General features: G+C 54.2%; 1 protein-coding gene across 5 annotated transcripts in view, besides 4 other annotated features; it reads right to left on the minus strand.

Moving 5' to 3' along the window:
• HS1BP3 (HCLS1 binding protein 3) overlaps positions 1-19,672 on the minus strand; it is a 97,238-nt gene that overhangs the window by 55,089 nt on the left and 22,477 nt on the right. For 3 of the 5 annotated variants that reach the window (XM_017004698.2, XM_017004696.3, XM_017004697.3), the window contains exons 5-6: positions 15,783-15,943; positions 14,947-15,082 (exon numbers count right to left, since the gene is read on the minus strand). In XM_017004698.2, coding sequence (XP_016860187.1) covers positions 14,947-15,082; positions 15,783-15,943 — 297 coding nt within the window. Of the gene's footprint in view, positions 1-8,868; positions 10,297-13,237; positions 13,371-14,946; positions 15,083-15,782; positions 15,944-19,672 lie in introns of those variants that run through there. The other 2 variants (NM_022460.4, XM_017004701.2) reach the window with 2 other exon arrangements.
• Positions 216-715: an enhancer, noted in NCBI's record as "H3K4me1 hESC enhancer chr2:20808925-20809424 (GRCh37/hg19 assembly coordinates)". NCBI's record gives its function as "activates a minimal SCP1, AML or CMV promoter by ChIP-STARR-seq in primed H9 embryonic stem cells {active_cell/tissue: H9 hESC(primed)}" and the evidence as "EXISTENCE:reporter gene assay evidence [ECO:0000049][PMID:30033119]".
• Positions 6,007-6,959: an enhancer, noted in NCBI's record as "OCT4-NANOG-H3K27ac-H3K4me1 hESC enhancer chr2:20814716-20815668 (GRCh37/hg19 assembly coordinates)". NCBI's record gives its function as "activates a minimal SCP1, AML or CMV promoter by ChIP-STARR-seq in primed H9 embryonic stem cells {active_cell/tissue: H9 hESC(primed)}" and the evidence as "EXISTENCE:reporter gene assay evidence [ECO:0000049][PMID:30033119]".
• Positions 7,874-8,765: an enhancer, noted in NCBI's record as "H3K4me1 hESC enhancer chr2:20816583-20817474 (GRCh37/hg19 assembly coordinates)". NCBI's record gives its function as "activates a minimal SCP1, AML or CMV promoter by ChIP-STARR-seq in naive H9 embryonic stem cells {active_cell/tissue: H9 hESC(naive)}" and the evidence as "EXISTENCE:reporter gene assay evidence [ECO:0000049][PMID:30033119]".
• Positions 9,150-9,259: an enhancer, noted in NCBI's record as "active region_15396". NCBI's record gives its function as "activates an Ori minimal core promoter by ATAC-STARR-seq in GM12878 lymphoblastoid cells {active_cell/tissue: GM12878}" and the evidence as "EXISTENCE:reporter gene assay evidence [ECO:0000049][PMID:35858748]".

The following is a 19,672-nucleotide window of genomic DNA, read 5'->3' on the forward strand; positions in this document are numbered from 1 at the left end:
TTCATAAATGCTGAGGTCCTGAAAAGCCTAAGAGGTCAGGCTTGCTGAGAAGAGCTATGTCTGAGCCCGCCTGGCTACAGGGAAAACAAACCCCAAAACCTTGTTGGCCTGATTGGCAGGAGCCCAGAGAGAACTGATGCCCATCCAAGAAACACAGGTGTTCAAGGGCCCCTGCTCTGTGGCTCTCCACCCATGGGTAGCTGCAGGATGAGCACCGTCCTTGGGGGCAGAGGCCGCCAGGCGCTGCATCAGGATCCTGGCCTGCTGCTCTAATAGTGCCTGTGAGAAGTCAGGTTCTCAGGGCTCTAGTCCTCGCTCTCTGCCACATGAGAACCCACAGCAGCCTTCCTGCATCCCAGCAAAGGACCATGCACTCCCCAAGCCAAAGGGGTCCTGGTGGAGACCTTCAGTAAGATTGCCACTTCAAAGCCGTTCCAGGGGCCCGGGGGGACCTCTGAGCTCTCCTCCAGGAAAAGGCCTGTTCTCGTGAGGCCTGTTGTAGCTCAGCTCTTGGAGCCTTCTCTAGGGAGCACATTGAACAGTTTTCCGAATACTGAGGCTCCTCTTGGCTTCATTCCAGGAGTGGGGGAGAGGAGGGAAGGCTGGGCTGAGCCGCTCTGTGGATTTGCTCAGCTGTGTGTCATCCCATACTGTGCCAGTAGGCCCTGAGCCACCATGCAGTTAATTCTCCCCATTCACCTGTCCAGGACAACACAGGGTAACTAGAGGAAGAAAAAGAAAAGCTGGAAATCGTACAGAGGAGGAGAGAGATGCTGTCAAGGAACAAAGGCCAGTTGGTGCCAGGACTTCCAGGCCAATTGAGGATTCTGACCCCTCATTGCTCCAGAGGACTCTGGAGGTGTCCTTTCCCTCAGAGGGTGCCCCCAGCCCCTTGACTCAGTTTTTCCCATTTACTGGACTGGAAACCCCTCCCACCATCAGTGAAACGTTTGCTAAGCCTCACTTGGAGCCCAGGTACCCTGGGGACTGTGGGGGCTATCACCAAAGGTGGGGCATGGTCTGGGGATACCAGGTATCTTGGGGCAGCAGGCATCTTCTACTTCATGAGCTTCCTCCCTGTGGTTCCTTTTTTATTTTTAAGTAGATTTTTTTTAAAGAGCAGTTTTAGGTTCACAGCACAATTGAACAGAGAGTACAAAGTCCCCACATGCCTCCTGCCCCCACACATGCACAGCCTCGCCCACCAGCAACAGCCTGCACCAGAGTGGGACATTTACCAGTGAACCTACATGGACACATGGACGCCTCCTTATCACCCAGAGCCATAGCATACATTAGGGTTCACTCTTGGTGCGGTGCATTCTGTAGGTTTAAACTAATGAATAATGCCACGGATCCACCATGAGAGTATCATACAGATAAGTTTTTGCCCTAAAAATCCTCTGTGCTCCTCCTATTCATCCCTCTCTTCCCCTTGAACCCCAGAAACCACTGATCTTTTTATGGTCTCTGTGGTTTTGCTTTTTCCAGGTCAGATAGCTGGAATCATACAACATATATATCCTTTTCAGATTGCCTTCTTTCACTTAGTAATAGGCATTTAAGTTTCCTCCATATCTTTTCATGGCTCGATAGCACATTTCTTTTTAGCACTGAATTAAATGCTCAGTGGAATCATCACCTGGATATACTGCAGTCTGTTTACTCATTCACCTACCAAAGGACATCTTGGTTGCTCCCAAGTCTTGGTAATTGTGAATCAAGCTGCTATAAGCATCCATGTACAGATTTTTGTGAGGACATAAGTTTTAACTCCTTTGGGTAAATACCAAGGAGCACAAATGCTGGAGAGTATGGTAAGAGTATGTTCAGTTTTGTACTGTGGTTTCCACAGGTATATTGAGATATAATTCGCGTATAATCAAATGTTCCCATTTTAAGTGCACAGTTTGATGAGTTTTGGTGAACGTTTATAGTCATGCTCACAGCGTAGCACACTTCCATCACTCCCAAAAGCTGCCTCATGGCCCCTTGCAGCCAACCACTCCTGTCCTGCCCATCCCCAGCCCCTGGCAACCATGGGTCTGCTTTCTGTCACTACAATTTTGCCTTTTCTAGGGTTTCATATATGTGGGATCATACAAGATATAGTTTTGGGGTCTGGCTTCTTTCACTTAGCATGTTTGTGATATCCATTGTGGTATGTCTGTTAGAGGGTTTTTCCTTTTTGACGCTGCACAGCATTCCGCTGCATCCATGTGCCACTGTTTGCTTGTTCATTGACCGTTTGTTTGATGGATATTTGGGTTGTTTCCTTTGGGGGAGGAACCCTTATGAATAATGTTGCTGTGAACATTCGTGTCTAAGTCTTTGTGTGTGTGGCTTCTTTTCGAAGGAAGGGGGAACGCTGGCTCACTCCCTCCCAAAGTGATTGAGGGTTGATAAGGAAGCTGGGAAATCCCAAGGGGTAAAGAGAAAGGGATACAGGCCAGCCTGACCATGGGCCGCTGGGACTGCCAGAAACCTCTCTCCACTTGACCACATCGTGCGCAAAGTTCAGGGACCAGGAGAGGGAAACCGATGTGTTTACTTCCTGTCTCCATGGTGCTGGGAGAGCTGTTGTTGCTCTGAGTGTGGGGTGAGCTGGAATGTACTCCCCGCTGCCGCAGTCCTGTTGACATTATTCCTTGTCAGAATGGCTCATTTCCAGTTCGTTCCATCTACCCTCCCTTTGGTAGACCTCCATGACCCACCTGGATCCAGTCCCCAGTCACATACCAGGGCCCCCTGGACACAGGGTCCCTCAATCCCAGGGCCCCTTTCTGGGTCTCCAGTGGTTTTGTATGTGCCCATTCCCATGCCCCCCACCCCACGGTGAGGCAGCAGAAGCAGGCCATCACCCTGCTCAGCAGCGTGGGGTTCAGAGAAGCTGAGAGATGGCAGAGGGTGGCACAGCCTCCTCCCGCACCTACAACCACCCTCCATGGAGAGCAAGCCATCAGCACCCCTTTCCACGAAGATGTCTGGTGTTCACTCTCAGATGAAGAGAGGGAGTACTCAAACTCTAGGATTCCTCATAGCCCAATAGACAGCAGCTTAACAGAATTTCAACAGAATGTTAATTACACACATATAATGAATACTATGCATCAGGTATTGTTCAAATAACTTTACAAATATTAACTCATTTAGCCTTATACTACCCTAATGAGGCAGGTAAAATTATTACCCCCATTTTATAGAGGAGGAAATTGGGGCACAGAGAGGTTAAGTAACTGGCCCAGGGTCACACAGCCAGGAAGCCCAAAAGCCAGGAGTTGGCTCACATTTTTAATCTCTGCACTCTGCTGCCTATGGATTTGTTGGTTTCCTTCTTTTTCCAATCATTAAATTATCCTAACAGTTTTATTGAGATATAATTTATATACCGTAAACATCACCCATTTTAAGTGTACAATTGAACAATTTTAGTAAACTTATCAAATTGTGCAACCATCACAACAAGCCAACTTTAGAGCATTTCTATCACCCTGGGAAAGATTCTTTGTGCCCTTTTGCAGTCACTGTTAGTTCCAACCTCTGCTTGAAGCAACCATTAATCTTTCTGTCTCTGTAGATTTGTCCTGGAAATTTCCTATACATAGAATCATACAATACGTGGTCTTTTGAGTCTAGCTTCTGTCACTTAACATGATGTATTTGAGGTAGATCCATATTGCAGCATGTATCACTCCATTCGTTTTTGTGATCTAATAATATTCCATTATATGGATTTACTGCATTTAGTTTATCCATTCACCAGCCGAGAGGCTTTTCCATTGTTTCCACTTTTTGGCTGTGATAAATAAAGCTGCTATGAACATCTGTGTACAAGCCTTTGACTGGACATATATTTCTCTTTCTCTTTAGGTATATGCCTAGGAGTGGAATTGCTGATTTGTGTGGTACATTTATGTTTACTTGTTGTAAAAACTGCTAAATCTATTTCCCAAAGTGCTGCACCATTTTCCATTCCACAGCCATGGATTTTATAGACTGTGAGGTCCCGATGCAAATCCTAGGGCCACCCATACAAGCAGACAGAGCCCAATTTAGGGTCCTGGAACCAACCTAGGTGTAAAATGAAGCCATCTGGGGATGGGGGGGACTGAGTCAAGCTCAGCCTCTCTGCAGCTTCTGATGTCTGAGAAACAGGTGGGCAAGAAATCAGCTGTTCTACTTTCTAATCCAGAAAAACATTGCCCTCTGGGACCTAGAGCACTTGTTAGGGGAAAATCAGCAAAGTGGCGATAACACCAAAAGGAAAAACAGAAACACACTGTGGAGACGTCAAGGGCGATCTCAGCAAAGGAAGAAAACCAGCTTGAGAAGGCAGCAGTAAAGGCAGTTGGCCTGCAGCTCCCATGCTCCGGAAGCCTTTAGTTCCCACTGCCAGCATCCTCAGAGCCCTTTCCGACTACCTCGGAGGCCAGCGAGAGGATAATGGGGTGATGGCAAGGGGGAGCCCCAGGACTCAGCTGCCTATGGCTCTGAACAGACAGTGCTGGTCCAGCCAGGGAAGGCCTTCTCCAGAGGGGCACTGCTGGAGGAAGGAAGGAAGGAACGCCGCTGCCCGCCTGCCAGCCAGGATAGCTCTGAGTGTCACCAGCTCTCCAGTTTGTGCCACATGTTATCTAAGGAGTCATTTCACTATTTAATAAAGAGATCCAGCTTTTGATAGAGAGAATTTGACATGTCTGGCAGCAGCTGCAAAGGACAGAACTTTATAATGATGGCCCGTGGTGGGTGTCTACACACACAACTGCCTGCCCAGCTTCCTCCTGACACGTCCCCTCACATGGGAGTGAAACCGACATGGCACTGCTGAAACACACAGAGTACACAGGGATGGCACAGGGGGCATGCCTTGCAGAATGGAATGGGCCTCTGCTTGCTGCTGAATGCCACGTGCTCAGGACAGGTGGTAACTGTACTGGGTCGAATTGCGTCCCTTCAAATTCATGTCCACAAGGACGCTGTGAAGGTGCTCCTATTTGGAAATAGGGCCTTTGCAGGTATAATTAAAGGGAAATGAGGTCATATCAGATTACAGTGGGCCGTAATCCAATGACTGGTATTCTTTCCTATAAGAGGGAAATTTGGGCACAGACACAGAGAAGACACCGTGTGAAGACACAGACACAGAGGAGAGAAACTCATATGAAGACAAAGGCAGAGGCTGGGGTGATACAGCTATAAACCAAGGGACCCCAAGTGTTGCCAGGAAACCCCCAGAAGCCAGGACAAAACAAAGTAGGATCCTTCCCTAGAGATTTCAGAGGGACCATGGCCCTACTAACACCTTGATTTTAGACTCGTGACCCCCAGAACTGTGAGATAATACATTCCTGTGGTTTAAAGCCACCCAGTTTATGGTGCTTTGCCAAGGCAGCTCCAGGAAATGGAACAAAAGCTGAGCCCAGGCTGCAGGTAACAAACTGTCCATGCTGGCAGGTGGCAGAGGGGGAAGGACAGGCAGAGAGGGCCGCATGGAGGAGGCACCTCCTTTAGTTGTGCCTGAGGTTCAGGCAGAAGGCCCAGAGAACAGAAGTGAAACTAGAGGCTCAGCATGGCTCCTGGTAGAATTGGCTTTAATGGCTCAAGTTTTTTCATCTTTGCTTCCTCCAACTTGCCTGGAACAGGTACTGCACACGGTAGGTGCCCATTACGTGCTTAGTGTTTATGGATGAGCTCTGCATGTGGGAAAACAAACGACATGATTGGCCAGTTGGCCTGGAGAGAGCTAGCCCAGCTTTATTTAAAAAGCCATTCAGAGGCGGCTGCTATGTGCTGAGTTGGCAGAGAAGCATCAGGCCTCTGAAAGTCAGCAATAAAGAGTCGGCTTACCGAGGCCACATGCTGAGCCCATAATCCCACTTCAGAAGCTGTAGCTTTAGCCTGAGCATGACCCGACACATGAAATTGCTTGGCTCTTCCCAGTAGCCAGAGCCACGGAGCACAGGAGTGAGAGGCCAGCCACAGAGGAGGGTGGATATCTGTGTACCGCGTGGGATTCTGTGTGTCGCAGCGCCAGGCCTGGCATAGAAGTCAGTGGTCAGCACTGGGGCTGGGGACTTGACTGAGCTGTTGACAGGCCTGTTGATCACTTGCCCAGTGGCCTGCCACCTCCTGTTAGGAGCTAGCTGGTACCGGGCAGGGAAGTCCCTCTGTGAGGATCTAGCATGACCAGTCCACTGAAATTCCTTCAGGCACGTAGAGGACTTTATAGTCTACCTGGCTTCCTCCCAGGACCCAGGGTGGGTAAGTCTCTTCACTTGGCACTGTGGGGTGAGGGGATATCACACAGCCAAGCTGGACTGGAACCCTGGCCGTTTGTGCCCACAGAACCTGGCTGCTGCTTCACAGGATGCTGTGGGCTGCATGAGAACTCAAGGGCCAGTCCCTACTGCTCCTCCACCGGCCCCTGGATCTGCTTCCCCACCGGCCCCTCAGTCAGCTTCCCCAACTGCAAGGCCTTAGGGTGCTGAGCAGGGAATGGTTTGGAGCGATCAGAGTTTGTAGTGAGTGGGACCATTCATAGCTTGATGCTGAGACTTCAGCTCCTTGAGGAGGCTCTGAGCATTGACTATGTTTGCTCTGGGCAGCTGTGAACCCACATGAAGCCAATAGCAGCAGGCAGGACCACTATGTGGGGACATGCTGGTAGCTCTGTTACCCTCTCTGTTTCCCAGGATTGGCTCAGCTAGGCAGCTGGTGAGCTAGAGAAATGGGAATGACCCTCCACATCAGCCTGACACCGGGTATTAAATCACTGCACCAAGTATGTCAACACAACGCCCAGGTGGCCGCTGGACAATAAGGCCACAGGGCCCCAGAGAGTGGCTGGACTTTGCTGTCTCGTCTGTACCTTGTGTGAGAGCTTGAGACTCAGAGGAGCCCGTGGGGCACATGGAGGTGAACTTAGTCCCAGATACATTGTATGGACGTGGTCATGGGACACCAGTACTCAACAGGTAGGTGCTCTCCAGGGGGGCCCATGACACAGGCCTGGCCAGGGAAGGCCCTAGGGACTTTCCAGAACTGGCCTGAGTTCCCGGCTTCCTAAGAGGAACAATGCCGGGAGGAAGGGAGCAGTGGGACCCCAGCCATAGACAGTACATCCTGTCCATGGGCTCACAACAGGCTTCGAAATAAACAAGTGTTGTTGTCCCCAGTTAAACTTCTGTTTCCCTTCCACAGGGAACTCTCAGCTGCAGGCTCCTGGCCTGAGCAGACCTTCTCAGAATGGCCAAAGTGCCTGTCCTCAGGAGCCAGGACTCCAGCTCAATCTTAGCTACAAGACTCCAACCAAAATCTTGGGGGGGATAGAGGCCACATTCTGTCCCTGCAGGAGGCCTCTCAGGCTCCCTGAGAACCTGTTTCTAGTTCTCTAGTGGATTTCAGTTGACAGAACTCTCTACTTCAGCATCCCTGGGTCCCAGGGCTGAAGCTGCATCTAAGAACCTGAGCCCTGAAGGCCAGGGCGGGTTTGCTGACAGAGGCGCAGGGCCATCTGATGTCAGACCTGAAAGGGCCCCAGGGCCAGTCCAAGCCTAGACCATCTCCACTGTGGGAGAATAGGGGGTAGGTCTGGAGACAGAAAGGGGTCCTCTTTCTTTCTACATGGGTCTTGGCTGTGCAGTTACTGGCCCGATGACCACACTGGGCCTGGGACTCTATGCCTCCTCTGCCTTGGTTGGCATAGTGAGGAGTGACCAGAATCCTCCCCTTCCCCTACCCTAAGCAGCAGCCTGGGTGACTGGGGCAGGGCAGCTTCCCTGGCTGAGTCCATTGTTTTAAAGGACAATCCTCTCCCCCTCTCCCCTCCCTGGTGGTCTGCCATCAGCCTAGGCACAGAAAAGAACATCACTAACACAGGCTGGAATGGGTCACAGGCACAGGCTTTATCAGGCGACAAGGATCATTGATTGGCCATGAGTCGCAGTCCTGTGGGTGAAGAACAAGCCACAGATACTGGAGCATCAATATCTGGGGGTCTTTGTGATGGTGTCCAGAGAGTCCAGACCACTGAGGAGGTGGCGTCCACAGTGGATGAATACACAACGGGCAGGCCAGGTTCTGCCAGTGACCCCAAGCAGAGCACCAGCCCCTGTGGCCACCTACCCCGCTGTGCCCTCTGCTCCTATGTCACTTGACCCAAAGCAGGTGGGGAGCAGGAGGCAGGGAGCCAGCATCAGGGTGCAGAAAGGGCAGGGAGGGGACAAAGCCCAGAGGAGAGCTGGAGCCACCTCTCGGAGGAAGACCTGGCCCCATCCCCTCCCCACTCCTACTGAGACCTTCCGCTGCAGTCAGCAAGGGATGCAGGGCCCGGGGCTGAGTGCTGGGAAGGAGGGGCGGGTGTGAAGGGGGAAGGCAAATGGGTGGAGCCGGTGCTGGAGCTGTCCCAGAGCTGGCTCAGAGCCCTGGGGAGGGAGCTGACCCTCTGAGCCTGGGTTAAGACGGAGGAGGAGGGAGTCAGCTCTCGACCCCAAAACCACCTGTTTCCTCTCACTCTAGCACTGGTGGAGGGGAAGCTGCTCAGGACAGGGCGCCACAGCTGGAGAGGGACGTGATCAGATGCAGGACAGAGCAGACAGGTCCTGGCACGGGCCAGGAGCTGAGACACTCAACACTGATGGCTGCAAACCACCCGCACCATCAGCCGGGGGCTCCCTCAGGGCTGGCTTTGGTGTCTATCAGAAAAGGGTCTGAGGTCCTAGTCCCACCCGCTCAATGCTTCTGCCAGGCAGGACAGGGCCAAGGAGCAATAGTGGTTGCATTTCCTTTAAAACTACTGTTTCATTAAAAAACAAAACAAAACAAAACAAAAAACTAGCTCTGAACATGAAGAATTATATCCAAGAAAGACACCTTGACATTTTTTGCTTTATTAAACATCATTCACTGAGAATTTCCAAAGCACTGTGTGGTGCCTAGACCTGTGTACCAGCGCTCTGGGGGTCGGGAGAAGTCTAAGGCACGGGCCCTGCCCTGGCGCACGGCTCCTTCTCCCTGGGAAGGCAGCTCCACTGGTGAAAGGCCACTGACCAAGTCCAGACCCTGAGGACGACGAAGGCCTCGGGGCAGAAGCCTGAGAGAATCATGCCCCACTGGCAGTGGGAGGCGGTGCAGGCTGGGAGCCCTGCCCAGGCCCCAGGCTGAGCTGTGGGGAAAGCTATGACCCAGTTTGCTGAGAGCTGCAATGACGAACATTGGCTCTGTGCCCAGAGGCCCAAGAAGGCCATGGACTGGGCTGGCCTTTCCTGGGAAAGGGGGAAGGAGGAAGAACTGGGGCCTAGCAGGGCCGTCTATACCCTGGAGAGGCAGGGCCTGACTTCTCCCTTTAGAGCTTGCATCAAGAGGAGGCTCAGGAGAGAGAGACTTGCATCAGAACACTCCAGACAGCCGATCTCCCACTCAGTATTCCTCTCCTGGGAGACCCACCCAGACCCTGCAGGCCCCTGGCAGCCACGAGGAGCAGAGGCCCTGGAGTAATTTGGCTTGGGGACGTCCCCACCCCAGGCCCAGGCCAGTCAGTCACCCAGGCTACAGCTTAGGGTAGGGGAAGGGGAGGATACCGGTCACTCCTTCTTACTATGCGAACAGAGGCAGAGGAGGGATAGAGGCCCAGCCCCAGTTTGGGTCTGTGCTGGGGCTGGCAGAACCCGTGGGCATGAAGCTTCCCTGCCCCATGTGACACCTCGCTACGGCCCCACATGTCTTGCTTCATCCTTGGGGCTGGGCTTCTGGTTGGCAAGGCATCCCCACACCCTCCCTCCCCTTCATGTCCACGGGGAATAAGACACATTGGGCTCTGGCTCCTAGGGTGAGAGCCGCTCCCGCAGCCCGCAGGCTTCTACTTTGGCCCCACAGCCCCGGAGAAAATGGAACCATGCAGTTCTGGGTGCTGTGACCCAGGCTTCTGCCTGGCCTCCCCTGGGGGTGGGGAGGTTCTGACCCTGCAGGGCCCAGTCCCTTCCCTTCACACCGATGTCCCCACAGACAGGCCTGCTGGGCCAGGGGCCAGCATGGAAGGGTCAGAAGAGGCTGGGGGCGGCCTGGGCTGGTGTATCGTGGTCCTGGATGTACTGCAAGATGTCCATCTCGTCCATGGCTTGGATCTGCTCCTGCGGCTTCTGCTGCCCAGCCACAGCTTCAGCCGGGCCCGCTTTGGGGGGAACAGCTGGTTTTCTGGGTATCACCGGCTTAGCTGCCACTGGTGGCTTGGGCTTAAGCTGGGGCTTGGGTTTGGGCTCAGCTCCCAGGTTCAGAATCTGGTCCAAGTCCTCTTCAACTCTAGGGAACCACAGGGAGGAACCCTGAGCATAACACTGCCACCCCGTGACAGGAACAAGACCCCAGGCAATGCCAGTGCCCACACGGGGCTGGGCAGCGGCAGGGAGCCCAGCCTCGGCCAGGTCAAGGCCCCGCCCTGCTCTGCCCCATTCCACTCTGGCCCCTCCACCCATCCTGCCCAGAGGAGACACGAAGGCCAGGGCTCTCCTTCCCTCCCACCCACAGCAAAGCAGGCACAGGGCAGGCCCCACGCAGCCTCCTGAGAGTTGCTCTTCAGGTGACCCCACTTGACACACGCTGCCTTCTGTAGGGGGCTTTCCCTCCAATCCCTTCAGAAATAACCACCAGCTACTATGTACAGAGTTCCCGCTCTGTACAGCACTTCAGACACGTTATCATATCTTATCCTCAAAACGCCACTCTGGGGAGGCATGACTGTGCTTCCATCACGCAGATGAGGACGCTGGAGTCCCAGGAGGCCGAGTGACCTCGAGGGGATGGTATGTGACAGTGCCTTTGTTGGAAGGAACAGGACATCGGCCCTTAGAAGCTGAGCCCTCATCCAAAGCAAGTTCAGCCAGAGAAAGAATAACCAGGGGCGCTGAGCCATGGTGGTACAGGCTTGGCCCGCCCACAGTGCCCCGCTGTGGGCCACACGGGTGCCAGACGGAACCCAGTGAGAGCTGAGGATGGCCTCGGCCAGGGCCCACCAAGACTCTGTCATGACCCCAGACCTCTAATCTCCCACTGGTGGGTGGGCAAAAAGCCCTGGCAGTGTTACGGTCACTCAGGACCATCCCTGGGTACTGAGGGCAAGAAACAGGCCAGGCCACTGATTCTCCAGAACTTGATTTCTGGAGACCAGATGCACAGTGGAAGACTCATTCAATCCATTCCACCCACTCAGCTCTGTGCTGAACACCCGTGATGGCCAGACATTTCCACATTCATTAACCCATTCAATAATCTCCAAACACTGTGTGGTCGCAGAGATTAGCCCCGTTTTACAGCTGAGAATACTGAGGTGCAGAGAGGCAAAGGGCCTTGCCCTGAGACCCACAGCTAGTGTGAGGATGAACAGGACTTGGCCTGCATGTGGCTGGTTCTCTGGGGTGTGTTCCCCTGGCTGGGGCACCTAGACTCCAGTGTCACGGCGAGGTTTTCCCTTGTGCTAACGGGCATCTCTACGTCTATCGCTCAGCCATGCTGGAATCAGGTGAGTGAAGGCAGAAGACCTGTAGCACCCACTTGGTCTCTACAAGCTTCGGCTTCCTCATCTACAAGCAGGAGTAACAGTGTCACTGGCACTGCTGCACGGAACTGTACACAGAAGCACAGCACTGCAGGAGGAGAACTGGCTTCCGTTCCTCACCCTGCAACTCCTCCATCAGGCAGCCTCAGGCCACTCCTCCTCCCTGGTCCTCAGTCTCTTCTATAAAGTGGGATTGTACTTGCTCTACCATCCTCACAGGGATTCTTACAAGGATCAAATAAGACAACACAAGGAAAGTAGTTTCCAAATGTACAGGAAGGCTGTATGTACTGATGTCTACTGACAGCCACAGGGGCTGAGCAAGTGGGCATAAGACACAGAAAAGCAGTGCCTCCACCTACAATGAGGGACACCCCCCAGCCCAGTCAGACAGGGGCCACATAATTGCAAAGGCCTGGAAAGAAGGTGTTGAAGTCCAGAGAAGGGAGTGAGCCCTTGGGCCAGAGCAGGCTGGGAAGGCCTCCTGGGAAGGTGGGTCTTTTCAGAAGGGTGAGCCTGGCATGAATAGGGGAGAGAATTCTGAAGAAGGGAGCAGACAGCAGAGGTCTGGAGGTGGGAATGAGAATGAACAGGAAGAACCAGGCAGGCTCATGAGCAGCGGCTTCTTGCCCTGGGGCAGGGCCGGGCAGGGGTGGGGATAGAGAGGCGATACCTCTGATCAGGACAACTCCTGGCACTACCAGAGAGCCTGTGTGAGTATGGAGGTGTCCAGCACAGCACCCCCAGGGGTGGATGCCTGCCTGGAGCCAGCTGTGGAAGGAGCTCCGGACACCCTGCCTGCTTCCTGGCTCAACCTCCTGTGATGGGGCACAAACCCCAGAGAGAGAATTCAGAGTCTGTTTGGATGGCAGAGAAATGAATAAAAGGTGTCCTTCTTGAACAAACCCAGAGGGACTGGCCCAAGCCGGGCCTTCATAGACAGACCAGCTGTCTTGGGGTAGAGGTGATTTCAGGAGGTGTCACTCATGGCCAGTCTGCTCCTGGCCACCTCAGGTCAGATGTTCCGGAGCTCCCTCCAAGTGGCAGCCCTTCCTTGACTCCCCCAGGGCAGGTGCCAGCTCCACTGGCATGATGCAGCCTCCATTGAAGGCTGAGGGTACCTGGGAAAAGCTCAAAGGGACTGAATTATCCTCAAATAGGGGCCCTTTGGAAAATAAAGCAGCCGCTAGAGGCTTATGTCAGATTTCAGGATTAGCCTGCTTGGCAAAGCAGTGACTCTTTGGAACTAATCAGCAGCTGGATTTGCTCCCAGGTGGGTGGTGTACACGGGTGGTCAGCCACGGTGGGAGGCAGCATAGCTGCTCTTGGGACACAGGAGGCTGCAAGGCACCCCTTTTCCAAGCACCCTATTTCTGAGTCATGACTAGGACTAGCTCTCACTAGCGCAAGGTCCAGCTCTTTTCTCCTCCAGGCCCAGCTGGTGTGAGGTCAACCAGTGGGGGGTAAGGGAGCTCTAAGACCCTGGCCCCATTCCTTCTCCCTGGGTTCCTGCGGAAGACAAGACTCACCTAAACATCTAGACTAGAGGCCCTGCCCTGGTGTGGCTGCACAGCCAGAAGGAACAAAGCCTTCTTAGCCTCGACCCGCTCAGTGTACACCCCACGCGGCCTCAGGGTGGCTGAGGCTAGTGACAGAATGAACGAAGGGGTGAAAGCATGAATGAATGAATGGCTATCAGAACATTCTTTATTATGAGGAAGTCCAACTACTCCCTGGATAGTCACAGGGCAGACACAAAGAATGAATGTGGTTCCTGCTCTCAAGAAGCTAATCCCAGTGTTACGGCTCTTTTTGAATTTGTCTGAATTTAAAAAAAAGAAAAGCAGTTAATCCTTTCATTAGCAGATGTCTGCTAAAGTGAAGGTGGGGGTGCGGGACCCACACTTTTTGAGCAGGGACTCCCCAAGCGCTCTGCGGGATGCTAAGGGGCACCACAGAGTGGGGGGCCCAGGGATGAATGAGAACGTGAAGTGCCATGTGGTGCTGGCCCGCGCACTACGAGCCCTGCTTTTTGTGGCATTTCCCCAATTCATCAGCCACAGAGCCCCTTTGAAGATAGCCTTTGACCACCCCACTGTACCACGTTCTGCAGAACACAGGTTGGGAAGTAACGGATTTAGAATAAACTAGGCCAGAAAGGTCCCACGAGAGCCACCCCACTGGGACACATGGACTCCTAGACATGCTCGGCCTGGCCCTGCTGCTCCGCAGGCAGACTCTAGTATTTCATTTCCCTGTGCCTCGGTTTCCCTCTAATAAAATAACAATCCTGGTTTCTTCCAGCCCGCTGGGATGTCAGGAGCGAGGACACAGGATGAGAGTGAACAGATGCCAGGGGCCTTGGGGACATGTAAATACCAGAAGCCGTCACGGTGACTCAGGCTTGGCGGGCACTTGCAGGGCTGTCTAATAGCCCGAGGCTGCTAATGAGGGGTACAGATGACAGCCTCCAGGGCCTGCATGCCTTGGTGTCACATAAGCCGTTCCTGGAAAGAGGCGGCCTGGCTTCCTCTGAATCCCAGGCACAGTCCTGTGTCCTGGAGCATGGAGTGGGAGCTGGAGACACGCACAACACTGAGTCTGCTGAGAATGTGGCCAGTGGAGGTAAAGGCCTGGGGAGAACTGGGGGGCTGGGTGGGGAGGCAGATCACCCAGCCAAGTGCTCAGACAGTCCCTGATGAAGTGGAGAGGCCAGGCCAGGGGCAGAGCAGGGGTCTTAGCCAGGTGGCGTCCCACACTTGATTTCTTATAATATGGAGAAAATAGCATCCACCTTAGGGGGCTGTCGTGAAGATTACATAAGAGAGCGTGTAAGGAGTCTGGCTTACTGCGTACACAGCAAGGACTCAGGAAATAGGAGCTGTCACCGGCACAGGTTCTGCCAATTGACCTCCATGTGACAGCTGAGGCCTCATTCTCCCTTCCTTCTGTGAAAGCTGCCGACCGGGCCCTCCGGCAGAGAGGCCATCACCAAGACATCTGCACTTTGCCCCCTCGCTGGGTGGGCTGCATGCTGCCATGAGTCCGTTTAATTTGTTCCCAAACTTGCTTATGCCAGTTATACCTGCTCTTGCAATTATATAATTTAATTATTCTTTACATAAACTGTTAAAATATGATTGTGAAAAGAAAGACTGGTTGTGCACACAAAGTTCTCTCTTTCTGGAACTAGCTGAGCAGCCCTGGGCTGCGGATCCTCCCCCTCAGCCCCCTTCACCGCCTCTCACCCAATGTGCACCCACAGGCTTCTACTTTTCACAGGCCTGGGGTCCTCCCCTCAGAGGAGGCTGGGGCTGAGACTGGGCAATGAGCCGGGCCCTTGGCTCTGTCCAGAACACTCTCAGAGCTGGCCAAGCGCCGCTGGGGACAGGTGGTACCTGAACAGTTCCTTGGAGGCGTCCCTGTGGCTGAGGCTGGGTGTGGGCCCTCCACTCTCACAGGCGGCTGGCAGCAGGAGGGAGTCACCCAGGGGGATGGCCCCGCCGAGGTCAGGATCATCAAATAGCTTCAGGGCTGTGGGAAGGCAGCAGCAGGGGGGTCAGAGGAAGCCTCTAGGCTGGGATGCCATGGCTGCTCTCTCTCTGCCCCACCCCAGGAAGTCTTCTGGGCAGTCCTACAGGAATTGATGCCTCTGCTCAACCTGTCATAACTGGTGCTGCTTTGTAACTGTCAGGCAATGACCTGTCTCCCCAGGGGCCCCCGGGGCCCTCGGGATAGGGACTAGGGACAGGGACTAGGTCTCACTCCTCAGCATGTTCTTGGGCCTGGCCCTCAGTGAGGGCTCACCAAGTATGGGCTGAATTAGTGGGTGGCATCAATTCCCCTCACCGGAGGACGACCTGGGCATGTGAGGAAAGGGACCAAGGGATGAGTGGAGATGTCCCAAGGCCGCTCGGTTTTCCCTCTGCCAACTCTGCACAGAGCCCTCCAGCAGAGTCCATGCAGGCGACACAGAGTCCCATTAAATCCAAACCTACAGTCACACATGTGCCCTAGGCAGGCCCTATCGCTTACCACACAAACAGTGCCTGGAAGCCCAGGGCCCACATCTGCCCACAGATGTCATGGAAGCACAAAGCTGAGTCTATATCACATCTAAACAGGACAGGGGAGATATATGGGTCCTATTCACGCCGGGTGAGTCCAGACCCTGCCTGGTGATGGGGCTGGGCACCGAGAGGACACCAGGAGCAGACCATGGGGCTCTACTTACGGTCCACGGATGACACGTCCTCCGAGGGGTCCTGTGGAGACAGCTTCCTGCCCGGGCCAAAGAGCCCCTCATCAGGGTCCACCTCCTCGTCAAAGATGGTGAGCCGGGGCGAGGGCTTGGCTTTCACGGCCACTTTGGGATGTTTCTTGGGCTTCTTGGAGCTGGAGAATCACAGACAAAGCACAAGGTGAGGATTTCCCACAAGTGTCCAGGTGGTCCGGTCAGACCGACACAGGCGCTGGGCCCTGCAGTGGAGGGGCTGGATGCCATGGGCCAGAAAAGACCAGGCCAGAGGGACCAGGGAAGTCCTGGAGGGGGCCACCCAGAGCAGTCCAGGCAGGTGGAGCTGAAGTCTTTCTGAAATCTCTAACAGATGGTCACACGGCCAAGGGAAGGACAGGTCCTCCATCCCAGGGGAGAAAAGCAGGCCAGCGAAGGTGGTTGAGAAGCAGGTTTCCCCAATGACAGAGTGGTAAGGCCCCCGCTACTGTGGGCAGCTGTGCCCTGTGTTCAAGAAATGACCACTGTCAGGAGGAGCAGGCGGCTGCCAGGACCGGGCACCAGCTGCCAGACAACCCCAGCTCTTAGACGCCTTCAGGCCTTGAGTCTGCCATGCGGTCACAGGCCAGAGATCACACTCCCATTCGGAAGGTAGAGACAGCTGCCTGGTCTCAGGGTCTCAGCACTTGGGGGCCAGGCTCAGAGAACCACACTCCACAGCCACTCAGAAATGGGGATGGACCTGGTCTTGAGCCACAAACCTCAGGGCTAGGACTCAGGAGGGCAGAAAGCAGCTTTGGTAAGTGCCTTATTGTTTCCTTTGCATGGTAAAACCACCATTGTTCTAGTTAACACTTGGGTTCTGTGGAGCAGCCCCCCTCTTTCAGGAAGCCTCTCTGGGACTTGCCCACCTCCCCGGCTCCGACTCTGCCACCCCAGGTCCCATTACAGTGCACTTGCCGACTGGCTGAGGAGGTCCTGCTCTGGGCCAGACCCTGCTGTAAGAAACCAGGACGGGGCAGGATGGAAGCTTCTGGGGTGTAGGAGTACTTTAGTTTTGATCCAGGCGGTAGTTACGGGCTGGATAAGTAAACACGCATGGAGCTGAATGCTCAGGATCTGTGTACGTCACTGTAAGTGATACCGCCAGTAAGTAAACACACTTGATTTTACTTTAATAATTACTTTAACAGGCATTCAATCCCTGCTGATGATGTCTATTAGCCATTTTAAGGTTCCTGAAAATAATGAGAATATGCTCTTTACTGGAAACTGAAATTCCGTGTGCCTGTCCGCCTGGCGGGCAGTTCCACTGGACTGAGGTCACTATGTGAGGTCACCATCTGAGCTCATGTTGGTAACACGCTGCGGCAAAACTGCACCGAGAGGCTGGCCTACACAATGATACAGATTAACCAATGGCAGATAAAAATAGCAGAATGGCCCTGGGTGCTGGAGGGGCAGGTCCCCGCAAGGTGACCATTCCCACAGTCTGGAGTCTGAGGTCTGGCAGAATCCCAGGCACCCAGCCGAGGCGAGGAGAAACTATGAAAGCCAGGAAGGCTCCCTGCTGGAAGGTTCCCTGCTGGAAGGCTGCAGGACAGAGCATCCTCTGAGCTCAGAGCCCAGTCCCAGGGGAAGGATCTCTGCAGGGCTCGTTTGTTGGATGAGGAAACAGTGGTCCAGAGAAGCTGAGTGTCTGCCCAAGGCCACACAGCAGGGAAGGGACAGGCAGGCTGGGTCTAGATTGAGGATGGTCATACTCATGGTCCTATCCTCTTGTCCCCTCCAAATGTCCCATGAGGAAGGTGATATAGGATGGCGCAGGGATAACAGGATTGATCCTGCTGTTCTCTGGGGAGAAAGTGGCATGTTTCAAGGGTAGTGATGGGGAGCAGAGACGCAGTGGCAGGGACTGCTCCAAGAAGGCCCATCTGCCTGGTCCTGTGCTTTCTCCACCCAGCTCAGGCCATGAGGGACCTCCTCTGCTGTGCACCACCCTCAGGCCCTGCTTGTGGTGCTGGAGGTGAGGTGGAGGGAGCCTCGATTCTCCACCCTAAGGGCAAGTGCTTTCCAGAAATCTTCAGCTTCTGCTCCTCTGAGACCTGGAGGAGCCAGGGCTCGCCTGCTCTTACTCAGACATTCTCCCCTTTATTCTTACCAATCAGGCAGAGCCAGCTCGGCTCTCATGACTCCTAGGAAGTGGGTACCAAACAAGGGCCATGGCCTCCTGGGGCAGACAGCAAAGCTGACCCCAGCCAAGACCCACTGAGTCGGAAACCCCAAGCAGGCCCAGGAGGCTGTGTTCAGTCTCCTGTGGAATTCCACGGTCAGCCAGGCTCGCAGCCACTGTTCTGCCCGATGCTTCTCTCCCCTTCATTCCCCATCTCTGCCGCCCTTTGCGTGGCCCTTGCTCCTGGCCCCAGCAGGCACTGCGGTGGGGAAGGGTGGAGAGCCACCCCGGCCCCTACCCAGGTGGCAGCTCTCAGGGAGGGCAGGTCTGAGGCTGCTCTGCAGCCTCCCCCAGCAGCAGCTCCATGCCACACCCCACACTGTCTGCTCAGAAACAAGCAGGCCCTCCCTGGCTCCTGGGGATTGAACTTGCATGTAACCAGCCACGGGCCCCTCGGGGCAGGGGAGCAAGAGGCTTTGCATTGACCAGAAATCAGAGGGCGCAGAGAGGGAAGCGAGCCATCTGAGGAACAAGGGAAGCGAGAGAGAACAGGCGCGAGGAGGTCTCTCTGGAGAAGCCGTGGTGCCCCTTCCTACGCCTGCACCTGGTCTGGACAGCACACAAGAGGCCTAACTTTCCTTCCATGTGAGTTTTCTCCTCCAACTGGATCATGTCCTTGTTTTTCTCCCTAGAGACATGTTTGCCCTTTTGTTGTCCTGAACTGAAATAAAGTGGATCTACAGCACACGCGGGCGGCTCCAGCAGGCATGGTCTGTACCCTACCCCCACCCACCCATGCTGCCTGGGCTGCCTTCTCTACCTCCCCAACTCTCTAGACCCATCTTCAGGGGAATCAAGGAAGAAGCAGGAAATATGGAGTTTTGGTGCCTAAAAGCCCCAGGGTCCTATCCTGAGCGGCCCAAAACTTTCAGCCTCTGGGGGCTTAGTAATGTGCCTGGTCCATAACAGATGCCTTGATAAACTCTGGATGAGAGGATGCGCGATGGATGGAGGGGAGGAGGGATGGACAGGTGGAGGACAGGTAGGCAGGGAGCAGGGTGCCAGCACATCTCCATCTCAGGATTCTGTTAATCCCCAAGGCGGGAGGGGCAGGGAGGGAAGAGGGATAGGCTCCCAACCCCAGTCTCAGACAGCGCCCTATGTGCGAAAGCCCCTCCTCCGAAGATCTCCTGGCCGACTCCACTGGGCTTGCCACCAGGCCCTCAGCCACTCTATGAGCAACTCATTCCTTCCCTCGTGGGCACCTTTGATGGCGAGCACTCACTGAGAACCTCCCACCTGCAAGAACCTGTGCTGGGGACGAGGGAACAAAGATGAGGACGAGCCGCCGCTGTCCCCAGAAGCTCATGGCAGAGCAGGGTCACATAGAAACTGATCATTATGGCCGAGTGAGGTGGCTTATGCCTGTAATCCCAGCACTTTCGGAGGCTGAGGTGGGTGAATTTAAGAATAAAATATGAAAAGTGCTTTAGTTTAAAGCAAAAAGTTTACGGGAGGCCAGGAGTTTGAGACCAGCCTGGCAAAGATGATGAAATCCCATCTCTACTAAAAATACAAAAATTAGCGTAGCATGGTGGTGCATGCCTGTAATCCCAGCTACTCGGGAGGCTGAGGCATAAGAATCGCTTGAACCCCAGGGATGTAGGTTGCAGTGAGCTCACATCACACCACTGCACTCCAGCCTGGGTGACAAAGT

This window comes from Homo sapiens, chromosome 2 (genome assembly GCF_000001405.40).
Source record: "Homo sapiens chromosome 2, GRCh38.p14 Primary Assembly".
Classification (NCBI taxonomy): Eukaryota; Metazoa; Chordata; class Mammalia; order Primates; family Hominidae; genus Homo; species Homo sapiens.